Source organism: Homo sapiens, chromosome 4, assembly GCF_000001405.40.
Source record: "Homo sapiens chromosome 4, GRCh38.p14 Primary Assembly".
NCBI classification, from domain to species: domain Eukaryota; kingdom Metazoa; phylum Chordata; class Mammalia; order Primates; family Hominidae; genus Homo; species Homo sapiens.
The window spans coordinates 24,567,775-24,580,641 of record NC_000004.12 but is presented as its reverse complement, the minus strand read 5'-3'; the positions used below and the strand labels follow the sequence as shown (position 1 = coordinate 24,580,641).

General features: G+C 38.4%; 1 protein-coding gene across 3 annotated transcripts in view; it reads left to right on the top strand.

Moving 5' to 3' along the window:
- The window catches only part of DHX15 (DEAH-box helicase 15), a 57,080-nt gene that overhangs the window by 3,913 nt on the left and 40,300 nt on the right, over positions 1-12,867 (top strand). For all 3 annotated transcript variants that reach the window (NM_001358.3, XM_047449698.1, XM_047449699.1), the window contains exons 2-3: positions 3,964-4,399; positions 9,795-9,988. In NM_001358.3, the coding sequence (NP_001349.2) occupies positions 3,964-4,399; positions 9,795-9,988 (630 nt within the window). The remainder of the gene's footprint in view (positions 1-3,963; positions 4,400-9,794; positions 9,989-12,867) is intronic.

Sequence of the window (12,867 nt, the reverse complement as noted above, 5' to 3'; positions counted from 1 at the left end):
ACTTACTCCGGAGGCTGAGGCAGGAGAATTGCTTGAACCTGGGAGGCAGAGGTTGCAGTGAGTCGAGATTGCACCACTACACTCCAGCCTGGGTAACAGAGGTAGACTGTCTTTAAAAAAAAAAAAAAAAAGCAATGCTTATTTAAAATATCATGATTTTGATGACCAGTTAATGTCTTCCTTAGCAGTACTTCAGTGCCTGTTATTATTCCATGTAGAATTTTTTTATTTTTTAGAGACAGGGTCTTCCTCTGTTTCCCAGGCTGGAGTGCACTGGTGTGATCATGGCTCACTGCAGTCTCAAATTCCAGGGCTCAAGTGATCTTCCCGTCTCAGCCTCCCAGGTAGCTGGGACTACAGGCGTGCCACCCCACCTAGCTAAGTTTAAAATTTTTTTGTAGAGATGGGGTCTCACTGTATTGCTCAGGCTGGTCTCAAACTTTTGGCCTCTGGTGATCCTCCCACTTGGGCCTCCCAAAGCACTGGGATTACATGCGTGAGTCACTAGGTCTTGCCCTCCATGTAGAATTTTAACATGGTATTAGAACTTAAAAAGATCTTTAATAATAACCAATATTGGTGGGGCGCGGTGGCTCATGCCAGTAATCCCAGCACTTTGGGAGGCCGAGGCAGTCAGATCATGAGGTCAAGAGATTGAAACCATCCTGGCCAACATGGTGAAACCTCGTCTCTACTAAAAATACAAAAATTAACTGGGTGTGGCAGCATGTGCCTGTAGTCCCAGCTACTCTGGAGGCTGAGGCAGGAGAATCGCTTGAAACAGGGAGGCAGAGGTTGCAGTGAGCTGAGATTGCACCACTGCACTCCAGCCTGGTGACAGAGCAAGACTCCGTCTCAAAATAATAGTAATAATAACAACAACAACCGATATTGGGCATTTGCAATGTGCCAGACAACACTTAAAGCACATCACATATATTAACTCATTTAATCCTATCTATACTCTACAAAACATATTGATAGCCACATCTTATAGGTGAGGGAAGAAATAACTGTGATCCTATAGTTGGCTTAAGTCTTGAGCCAAGATTGAACTGAGACACAGTACAGAGCAGTATGTTCAACAACTGTGTCATGTCATACCTCCCTCCCTGCTCGTGGTGTGGCTGTGTCTGAAGCACTGACTTGATACCAGTTTTTAAAAACCCTTATACTTCAACTAGTAAACTTTTAAGAACAAAACTCCTTTATAATAAAAAGTATCTTTTAAAAAAGAAAACACGCATGTGCACAATAGTTGACAAATATTTATGAAGTGGAGGGTTTGATTTTCCCCTTTTACTCACCTTTCATTTGTACTCCCTCTCTCATCGAAGGAAGGTAGTTTGAGCCATAAGCAACATTTCCAGGTGTCTGAATTTGCCTCCTGCATCCTCCCTGTTTTCTTACTTTAATCTGAGACTAAAAGTATCTGAAAATGCTCTTCATTTTGCAGATCAGTAAATTGAGGCAGTGTCTTGCAATGGTGATTCCAGCATTCCTTTTATCTTAATACCACAGCTGTCGCCATTGCTTGATCAGCAGCTAACCTTTTATCTTTAGAATGTATTTTATACATCCTTTGTTTGGTTTGGTAATGAAGCATCTGATGAAGTGGGCCCCTGAAAAAATCTTTGTTAGTATAGGTATTACTTTAACAAACTAAGGCAATATATAATACATGATTTACTTTGTCACCTCTCTTCCCCCAAATTTTGTAACTCTTGACCATGTCTTAATTGCCTGGTACTATGCTAGAAGTATAGAAATCATTAAACTAGGCTGGGCATGGTAGCTCATCGGTAATCCCAGCACGTTGGGAGGCTGAAGCAAGAGATTGCTTGATCCCAGGAGTTGAAAACCATCCTGGGCAACATGGTGAGACCCTTATCTCTACAAAAATAAGAAATTAGCGAGGCGTGGTGGTGCATGCCTGTAGTCCCAGTTACTCGGGAGGCTGAGGTGAGAGGACCACTTGAACCCAGAAGTTTGATATTGCAGTGAGCCATGATCCAGTGAGCCACTGCACTCCAACCCGGGTAATGGAGCAAGATCCTATCTCAAAAAAAAGGAAGTTGTTTCAATTATATTTTTTGTCATCTCCTCCTTCCCCCATGGTTGAGTGAATACTAGAAACATGAATCCTTTTTGTTCAGACCAGATGTTCTTTAAGAGTTCTTTTCTAGCTGTATGATCCATGATCTTTAAGGTGTCAAGTATTTGAACCATTTGTGAGTACAGTGCTTCTTACTTTGCTGGGCACATTTCTGTGTACTCTTATTATAAACTACACCTCGTTGGCATTTTGGAGCAATGTAAACACTTAATTAACAGTCACCTTAGGCCAGAAGCAGGAGAAGCAAAGATAGTTGATGGCATATTTCAGAAGATAGGTCCAGACTCTCAAGTATTGAATTGTGAGACTTCATTTTATGTTTATTAAGTTATCCTTTGACTTTTCTTTCCCATTGATTTTCTTTCTGTTTATGCCAGGTGAAATGAGAGGCTTCATACAGTTCTGGCTTGTATGCTCTGTGATTTTTGTAGAAGGTGAACATTGGGATGGAAGAGGGGAAAATCACTTTTCATGTTTATATATGCATATATATGGCTTTTCCCCTTTTTGAGTAAATTTGTACATGTCACACAACTGCACTTGGAGCACAGGGAATTTGTACTTTTGTGTATTGTGGGTAAGGAACAATGACATGTTTCGGGGCTTGTGTCATAGCTCCGTCATGTCTCATTATTTCAAGTCTGGGTTTAAAGATCTTGAGGCAAATTTCTCTGCTGATGGACTTGGTCTGAAGTAAACTGGATTAGTAAAATGAACAAGCATAGATTATTTTATTTTATTCCCACCACCAGTCTCCCAGAGGCTGCTTTCAGCCACAACGCATATGAACAACCTGCAGCCATTCTGCTTGTGAAGTTCTTAGCATAGATACTTTTAAAATGACTTATTAAGGTCAATCTCTAGTAACTGGAAGTAGATACCAGCATTGACTACTTAAAATTGACCCAGGTTTAATAGAGTGGCTACCTGCATAATTTTAACATGTTAAACAACTTAATAGTGTTTAGCAAAGCTTATTTTTAATTTGGCTATGTTTCATTTTATGGTAGACCAAGGTACATAGATTTATAGAGTGCTTTCAGTGTTTTGCTGTTGCTGTTTAGGTTAAAATGCAAGAGTAAACAAGCAAGAAGGAATAAAAGTTTTAATTTCAGTTTTTTTAATAAAGCAATATACATTTACTGAACAAAATTGGGAAAGTGCTGGAAAGTATAACTAAGAAAACAAATTCTGCAGTCCTGTAATTCGTATTTGTATTAGTTGAGATATTGACAGGTATAACATTGTACTATGCTCTTTTCACTTTGCATTACAACCGAACATCGTCCTATGGCAAAGAAAGGAATATTAAAGTAATTTATTAGAAGTGGATTATAAAAGTATTGAGCAAAACCCACCACTGTTGACTGTAATGATGTGAGGTGGAGTTGTCTTTATCTCCAGTAGCAGTGTTTGTGCTAACTTCTGAATATACTTTTAGTGCACAAAATACCTCTTCACAAATTGAAGGAGAATTTGAGAAAGATTGAGATGCCATCTTCTTTTACTCAATTTGGACCTATCCTTTCTTCATCCTACCCTCAGTATCTGATTTCTGTTGTCTAAGTAGGAGGGGTTTTACTTGCAGCAGACTGAGTTCTTGTGTTACCTCACCTAATGTTAAAAGTTAAGGAAGGTGGGGCATCAGCAAGGAAGGGAAAGATGTTTGTGGTGGAGAATGGGAAACCCTTGATTGTAGGGTATTTTTTATTATTTCTGATAGTTACATAATCCATTGGACTTTTTATTCATTTGAACGTTGGACATTTACTCTCTTTGTGATTATAACGCTACCGTGAACATTCTGCATAAAATTCAGAATCTGAATTCTAAATTTTTGTTTTTAGGAAGGATCGAGATCGAGACCGGGATCGTGAAGATCGGTCTAAAGATCGAGACCGAGAACGTGATAGAGGAGATAGAGAGCGAGAGAGGGAGAAAGAAAAGGAGAAGGAGTTGCGAGCTTCAACAAATGCTATGCTTATCAGTGCTGGATTACCACCTTTGAAAGCTTCCCATTCAGCTCACTCAACCCACTCAGCACATTCAACGCATTCAACACATTCTGCTCATTCAACGCATGCCGGACATGCAGGTCACACGTCACTTCCACAGTGCATTAATCCGTTCACCAACTTACCCCATACTCCTCGATACTATGATATTCTAAAGAAACGTCTTCAGCTCCCTGTTTGGGAATACAAGGATAGGTTTACAGATATTCTGGTTAGACATCAGTCCTTTGTACTGGTTGGTGAGACTGGGTCTGGTAAAACAACACAGGTGAGTTATTGTATACCATGGTACATATTTCATTTATGTTTAAGTTTACCAAATGTTGCATATTTGATTCTGGTGGTCATTTCCCTTGTCTGTCCTATAGAACATCTTGAAGAATAGCTGATTTGATGTTTAATTGGCACTCTGAATTTCAGAGTGGAAATCCTATAGAGAATACCTCTCCCCTGAATCTAGGGGAAAATAGTGGTGCTCGCTTTTCAAATTTTGTTACCTTATGTATGGCAGAGGTATTTTGACTCCCGGACAGTACAGATTTAGGGACCCACAGTTTGTTTTCTGGTACTTGGGTGGAGAAATCACTGGGGTAGATTTTTGTCGTTTGTATTTAATATGGTATTTTGAACCATGCAAAAAATGAAATGCCAAAGTAATATAAAGTCTATACCGGTGACTTTTGTCCATCTAGTCGTCCTCCCTCCCATAGAACTAAACACTGTTACTAGTGTGTTATTTGTAATATAGCTAGGATATTTTTTAAACATGGATGGGCTATTATTAACTAGACCCCTGTTGATAGACATTTAGACTGTTTCCCATGGTTGTTTTGCATGGGTCAAGTGTTTCTGTAGGAAGCAGAAATTGCTGGGTCAGAAGATCATTTGTAATTGTGATACAGAAAGCTGGATAGCCTTCCAGAGGGAGCGTATCAATTTACCTTTCCATGAGCATGTAGGAGAACACGTGGGAAACTATTAAAACGTGAATTTTTACAAATCCAATAGGTGAAAAATTGCATTCTAATGTACTTTTTAATTTGCATTTTCTTGCTGTGGGTGAGAAGTAACTGTCTTTATACACTTAAGCCTGAACCATCAATTAAAAATTTCTGGTTTCAAAAGTAGCAGTCCCTGATCATTGTAGAAACTTTGAAAAATTCAGGAAAGTATTGAAGTGAATTACCTGTCTTACCATGCAGAGATTGAACATACCGCATACACAATTTATCTTTTTCTAAAGTTACATGTGCATGGAGACATTTTGAAGGTACTGTAGCAACCAAAATAGGAAGCTTTTATTATAGACTGAGCCTTAGTACCATTCTTCTTTTCTTTTCTTTTTTTTTTTTTTAATTTTTGTGTTGTTGTTGAGACAGTCTTTCACCCATGCTGGAGTGCAGTGGTATGAACACAGCGTCAACCTCCTGAGCTGAAGCGATCCTCCTGCCTCAGCCTCCCAAGTAGCTGGGATCACAGGCATATGCCACCAGTGCCTGGCTAATTTTTAAATAAAATTTTTGTAGAGTTGAGGTTTTGAACTCCTGAGCTAAAGCAATCCTCCTGCCTTAGCCTTGCCAATTTTTCTTTTTTAATGAAGGAAAACTTAGAATTGATGTTAGGGTATTCAAAAATCACCTTACGGAAATTTTAAGAATTTTCAAACTACAAGAAAGACTGTAACTCTGAACTTACTATTTAATTGATATTTGGGTAAAGCCAGACACTGTATACTTTACATGTATTAGCTCATTTACGTTTTTCTATAACCCTGCAGGAAGATATTCATCACCACTTTACAGATGAGCAAAATGAGGTTTAAGTTTATGAGAAACTTAGGTTTAGTGGATTGTCCTGGGTTACATGGATTATGGATTTTGGTGGGCTCAATATTTAAAACTTTGTACCTTTTGTCTTTATATCTAAAGTTTTATATTTCATACTGCTATTCTGTGGTCTGATTATGGGTAGCCTCATTTCAGAGATGAGTTTATTAATGGTTAGTGTAGAAGGAGGTCAGGTCAACTCAAGATGAGGTTTGTGATTATTTGGATTAATATTTAACTTTTAGAGGGGTAATTAAGATACTTGGATACTGAGGATTGCAGCACATCTGGGGGATTTGAAGGGAAACCAAACAGTTTAAAAAGTGAATTTCATTCAAATGTTTCCTAGCATGCTCTTATTAAACTTTGACTCAAACCATTAAAGCCAGTCTTTTTTTGGTGATTTGTTCTTGTCAGAAAAATTCTCTAAACAAAATCTAAAGTAATGACTTTAACTTTTTTTTTTTTTTTTTTTTTTTGAGACAAAGTCTCGCTCTGTCACCCAAGCTGGAGTGCAGTGGTATGATCTTGGCTTTCTGCAACCTCCTCCTCCTGGGTTCAAGTGATTCTCCTGCCTCAGCCTCCTGAGTAGCTGGGACTACAAGCGCGCACCACCATGCCTGGCTATTTTTTTTTTTTTTTTGTATTTTTAATAGAGACAGGGTTTCACCCTGTTGGCCAGGCTGGTCTCTAAATCCTGACCTCAAGTTATTGGCCTGTCTGGGCCTCCCAAAGTGCTGGGATTACAGGCCCAAGCCACTGCACCGGGCCATGACTTTAGCTTTTGACAGACCTACAATAAAGACATTTCACATTGCTGCTTAGTAGACACATAACTGCACATGAGGAAGGAATTGAAGCTAGGTCAACCAAAGGGACAGTGTGAGCAAGGACGCATGTTGAGCTAAGGGAATGCAGGTATGCTCTGGCTAGAATACAGAGGGTTTGGGAAGGTGGAGGTGGGGCAGGTGAGACTGGAACTGTAAGTTGAGCCTTAATATATCTTGTATAGACTGGAAGCCATCAGAGCTCTTGAATTGAAGAGGAATGATGAGGATTTTTTTTTAAAAAAACTCCTGTCTAGTGAACATATTGATGATACACCATGTAAGAGCTCATAACAAAAGTTTCGATTCTGTGAAGGGCCTTGGGAATAGAAAATAAAGAATGGATTGGAGTCAGGATATTAGGAATTACAAGTATTTTGGAGGAAGGTGAGAAATGGCTTTGCTTTTGAATGTGTGAATTTGGGATACCAACTAGGTGGAAATGACCGTTAGCTCTAAGATGAAAGCTGGAGTTAGGATTGGCATTGATGTATTATAGGTAGTATTAGAAGTTAGAACATATAAGACTTCACAGGATATTATGTAAAACAAGAAGACTAGAACACCGAGGATCAGTTTTAAGATGCCCTCAAGTGGAGGAAGCAAAGAGCTGAAAAGGAGGAATGGCTTTAGAATAACTTAGACCTGGCTGGGTACAGTGGCCCATGCCTGTAATCCTGGCACTTTGGGATGCTGAGGCGGGCAGATTACCTGAGGTCAGGGGTTTGAGACCAGCCTGGCCAATATGGTGAAACCCCATCTCTACTAAAAATACAGAAATCAGCTGGGCGTGGTGGCGCACACCTGTAATCCCAGCTACTTGGGAGGCTGAGGCAGGAGAATCACTTGAACCCTGGAGGTGGAGGTTGCAGTAAGCCTAGATTGCGCCCCTGCACTCCAGCCTGGGCAACAGAGTGAAACTCCGTCTTAAAAGAAAAAAACAAAAAAGCCGGATCCCTGGCTTGAATACACCAGTAGCCTACATATTTCAGGACCTCTTTCTTTTCCTAATGCTGTTTTCCTTAGAAATGTGAACAGATGCATTAACTGACTGGTTCTCCAGCTATTGCCTGGGAGTTCTTGAAAGTCCTTGAAACCATTTCAGGGATCCTAGAATTTGTAAAAATACAAGGAAACGCACTCTTCTAGCTAAGTTTTTTTGTTTGAAAAGTAGTCATTTTTATAGAAAGCGTTATTTTGTGTTAAAACAGAATGAGTTTTATTGTTAGGAATTAATATTTTAGCAATTTTTCAGTTTTAATTTCTTAACAGTAAATTTATTAGTAGCTTGGCATCCTCGGTCATTTTCAGAGTGAGTGCACAGGGGTCCTGAGAGCTGCTAATTGACTTGTTGGTCTTGTTTTTAAAGTGGAGGTAAGCTGTTGATTTTAGCGGAGTGAATTAAAAAATCTGAACATTCTTGGCCAGGCATGGTGGCTCACGCCTATAATCCCAGCACTTTGGAAGGCTGAGGCGGGTGCATCACCTGAGGTCAGGAGTTCGACACCAGCTTGCCCAACGTGGTGAAACCCTGTCTCTACTAAAAATACAAAAAATTAGCCAGGCGTGGTGGCACGTGCCTGTAGTCCCAGCTACTTGGGAGGCTGAAGTAGGAGAATCGCTTGAACCTTGGTGGTTACAGTGAGCCAAGATTATGCCACTGCACTCCAGCCTGGTCAACAGAGTGAGATTCCATCTCAAAAAACAAACAAAAAAACAAAAGATCTGAACATTCTTGCCTTGAGAATTTTGAATTAATTTTAAATATCTTTGGTTCACCAGTGAGTGAATTTCACTTTCTAGATCTTTGAAAGTACATTTTGCCTTTGTAAAAGGGTTGCCGAATTGAGGATATATCAGTAAGTAAGGCTTTATAGCCTGACTAGAAAACCACTTAAACCTAGGTCTGTGGATTTACAGAACCCGATAGATACTACTTCTTTAGTTATTTTTGTTCATTTAAAGTGTTTTAAAGATATATATGATTTTAGAGAATCAGCATAATTACCCTCCCTTTCAGATATTTGTTAGTGACAAGTTACCCCCAATTGCAGAAGCAACCTAACTAAAATGTAATAATAGTGCAGCCACCAATATTCCTTATCAGTTTTACTGTACTGATACTGTGCAGAAAACTCCATGTTTCCTGTAGCATTAGAGTTTGATAGGCGTTTGGAAGCTTTGATGTAAACCAGTTATGCTCTTCTAGCAGTGGATTTCCATATAATATGGTGAGCACTTACATTTTTCCCATGGTTCTTTTCCAGTTAAGTGACTGGAAAACTGTAAAATTGGGGAATCCATTAGCTTATATTGATAATGGAACTGGGGGAAAATGTACTGCCGTCATGGCAACCAATTTAACTTGTGCTTGGGGGTCCCCCAACCCTTTGGCTGCCCTTAACGAAGTGGTGCTGCTCTAGGTCCTGTTAAATTTGAGACTGGCAGTTCTTAAAATTGATTTTAAGATGGTACCTAAGGTGCTACCATTGTGCATACTGCTCCTGAGGGGGAAAGGATAGGATTACAAAAGAGTTGGGTGCTAAGAGTTAGGTTCTGCTGGCTTATAAACCAAATTTGAATTGAATTAAATAAAAGTACAGCTTCAGAGTTACAAGGGGGTATGATTTCCACTTGATTTTGCAACTCAAATTATGTAAGAATTTAAAAGTTACACTTTCTTAGAAACGTTTGTTATAAAGTAGAATTTGTTGTAAGTTGGATTTTTTAAAATTGCATAGAGAAATACTTCATGATGGGATAGTCACACTGTCGAGTGTATTCCTGATTGTGTCTACCCAACTTGGGTGTGTGTCATATCAGTATTACACATAACTGTTCCTTGGTTTAGAGAGCTTGTGTTGTTACAAGTTTTGAATCACAAGTCTTATAGTCATTTGCCTAATTGGATTTGGTTTTAAATCATTAGAATGAGATAAAGTGCTTTATGTTACATATACTTGATATGCAGGCAGAATAGAATTAATTTAAATGTGAAATTATTTGATAGATTCCACAGTGGTGTGTGGAGTACATGCGATCATTACCAGGACCCAAGAGAGGAGTTGCCTGTACCCAACCCAGGAGAGTGGCTGCAATGAGTGTGGCTCAGAGAGTTGCTGATGAGATGGATGTGATGTTGGGCCAGGAAGTTGGTTACTCCATTCGATTTGAAGACTGCAGTAGTGCAAAAACCATTCTTAAGTAAGTACTATATCTTTAATGACGCTTTTAGTCCTCTGCTTGCCATTTTCTGCTATTAGATAGAAGACTTTGCTAGTGCAGGCTTATGTCATCCAAATTTAGAATTATCCAAAGTAGGCCTTCTTAGACTTACCACATGACCTTAGTTTAATTATATATTATTGGTAATCTATAGTTACTTGGTAGAAATTGAAGTTCAAAGGTCAGATTTTAGTTACTTGGTTCTGCATTTTAGGTGAAATGTTACTGATACTGTAAAATGTGTGGTTTTAGTAGACACAATGGTGTATGACTTAATTGTGAAAGAAAAGGAAAGTGATATGTCTTACTTAGTAAAAGATAACTACTTTTAGAAAGAAGAATGTATAGGATGGGATGTGATTTATTTAGGGGAGAGGGGACTTTTAATGTTAATTATGCAGCTATTACCGTGCATCTGTTATAAGCTAAAAAGAGGAATCTTTTGTTCTGTAATACACTGTTAGAGCTGCCTCTAGGTCCTTGTTCCTCTATAGCTATGGTGCAGATAATTGACTACTGTATTGAGCTTTCTAATGTTTTAACTCTACCAACTTTTTATTGTCTTATACTTGCATTCTGCATAAGTTATGATGTATGCTACCTGATGATGATTCTTTCTCAAGTCTTCCCTCTGGTTGCTTCTGCTTATTCTGTATTTATGTGATATTTAAGTCCTTTTAAATGTGACTTGTTTGAGTGGGGCTCAGTGGCATATGCCTGTTTATTCCCAGCCACTTCGTAGGCTGAAGCAGGATTATTGCTTGAGGCCAGGAGTTCAAGGCTACAGTGTGCTCTGATCATGCCTGTGATAGCTACTGCATTTGAACCTGAGCAACATAGCAAGACCACATTTCTTTTAAAAAAAAAGAAAAATCATATCTATGTGATCTTCTCCCTGAGGTTTTTAAAAACCATTTTGGAGCGTTGTGTAGGCAGTGATATGAGTCTTTGTTGTCAGAGTCTTTGTTGTCAGAGAGATATATAGTGTTAATGGGATAAATGAAACAAGAGTCTCTCTTTTTTTTTTTTTTTTTTTTTTTTGAGATGGAGTCTCACTCTGTTGCCCAGGCTGGAGTGCAGTGGCGCCATCTCGGCTCTCTGCAACCTCCGCCTCCCGGGTTCAAGCGATTCTCCTGCCTCAGCCTCTCAGGTAGCTGGGACTATAGGTGTGCGCCACCATGCCTGGCTAACTTTTTGTATCTTTAGTAGAGTTGTGGTTTCACTATGTTGGCCAGGCTGGTCTCTAACTCCTGACCTCATGATCCGCCCGCCTCAGCCTCCCACAGTGCTGGGATTACAGGCGTGAGCCACTACACCCAGCCGCAGAAATTGAATAGAATAATGAACTGCATGTGTTTATCATCGACTTTTAACTATTTCAGTCTTATTTATTTCATATCCAATCTTAATTTATTTCCCTGTCCCATGTTATTTCGAAGCAGTCTTAGATACCAAATAATTATATATATAAATATTTCAGTGTGTATCTCTGAGATAGTTTCTTAAAATAGAGCTATCATAACTTAAAACAATTTATTGGATCAAAATATCCAGTTTTCATTCAACATTTGTGTCAGTTTTTTCTAATTCTTTGATTTATCTCATTTTATTAGAACTTTTTATTCAGCGTGATATTTAATAGCAGTTGAACTTTAAAATATTTAAATAAGCTTATCCTTATGACTTTATGGGACATATTTTTGGCTTAAACCTTAATCTTCACTGAATAAATTCTTGTAGTTGTTCAGTGATACGTTATTGATCACTGGTAATTACAGTATAATTGACAATAATTGCATAAGCAAAATCATAGCTCATTATGTTGTATTACTTTAAAATGCAGGTAATGTCAAGGACTTGAGGATAATAAGGGGGAGATTTTACTCATCTTTAGGAGGAATATCATTATTCTGACTTGATTCACATTGCATTGAATTTTTTTGGTAAGCCACAGTTGAGAACAGAATTTGGAAATTGGGATACAAGAAAGTTATGCAATATTGGTGCTGTGTGTATGTGTAGTAGGAAGTGGGTGGAGGATAGGCTTTCAAAAGATGAGTACCTCTGAAAGATTTTGGTTCACTTCATAGGGAATGACAAGTAACAGATTTTATAGTTCAAATGAAGTATTTTTGGCATTGTGATTTTTTTAATGGAGCATTTTCTAGAGGTTATAACTACTTGTAAAAGCTTACTTAAGACAGGGTAAGCTTATTGGGGTTTCTTCTAGGAGCTAACCTGGTGTTGCCTTTAAGTAATATAAGTAAAGGAGTGTATTATTACAATAAGTTAGCTTAAAATTTAAAAATTTCAAATGTAACTTTGCTATTTGATAGGAAGAACTTAACTAATGGGAATGCTTCATTAAATGTAGCTCTTATCATATATAGATATAAAATGCTTATATATCCATTGTGTAGCCAGGGCGAACTTTAATTTTCACTCTAGGGTGGTAAAGAGGCTAACTTAGGCAGATTATGTTTGAGGAGCACAGAATTTAACCATAGTTTGAGAGCATTTTAGCTAAATAAAGTATCTTTAAATTGTCCGCATATAGATTAAGGGTCTATAAGATAGTTTCTTCAGTGTTTGGGATACCTATTCATAAATTTTAGGTTATAGATCTGACACTGTGCTCTTTTCGGAAGATTGGATCTGGTATAACTTAGTGCACACTCTGTTAGTCTAGCCTTAAATGGCTACCCCATCCCAGTGAACAAGTAAGTTTACAAAGCTGCCACTCCTAAATGGTTTTTATATTTCCTTTTTTATGTGTTTGCTTGTCCCCATCCTTTTCTTCTGAAGCATTCTTTTTGCAACATACTTACTTTCCTGTTTTCTTGGAGTGGAAATTATGA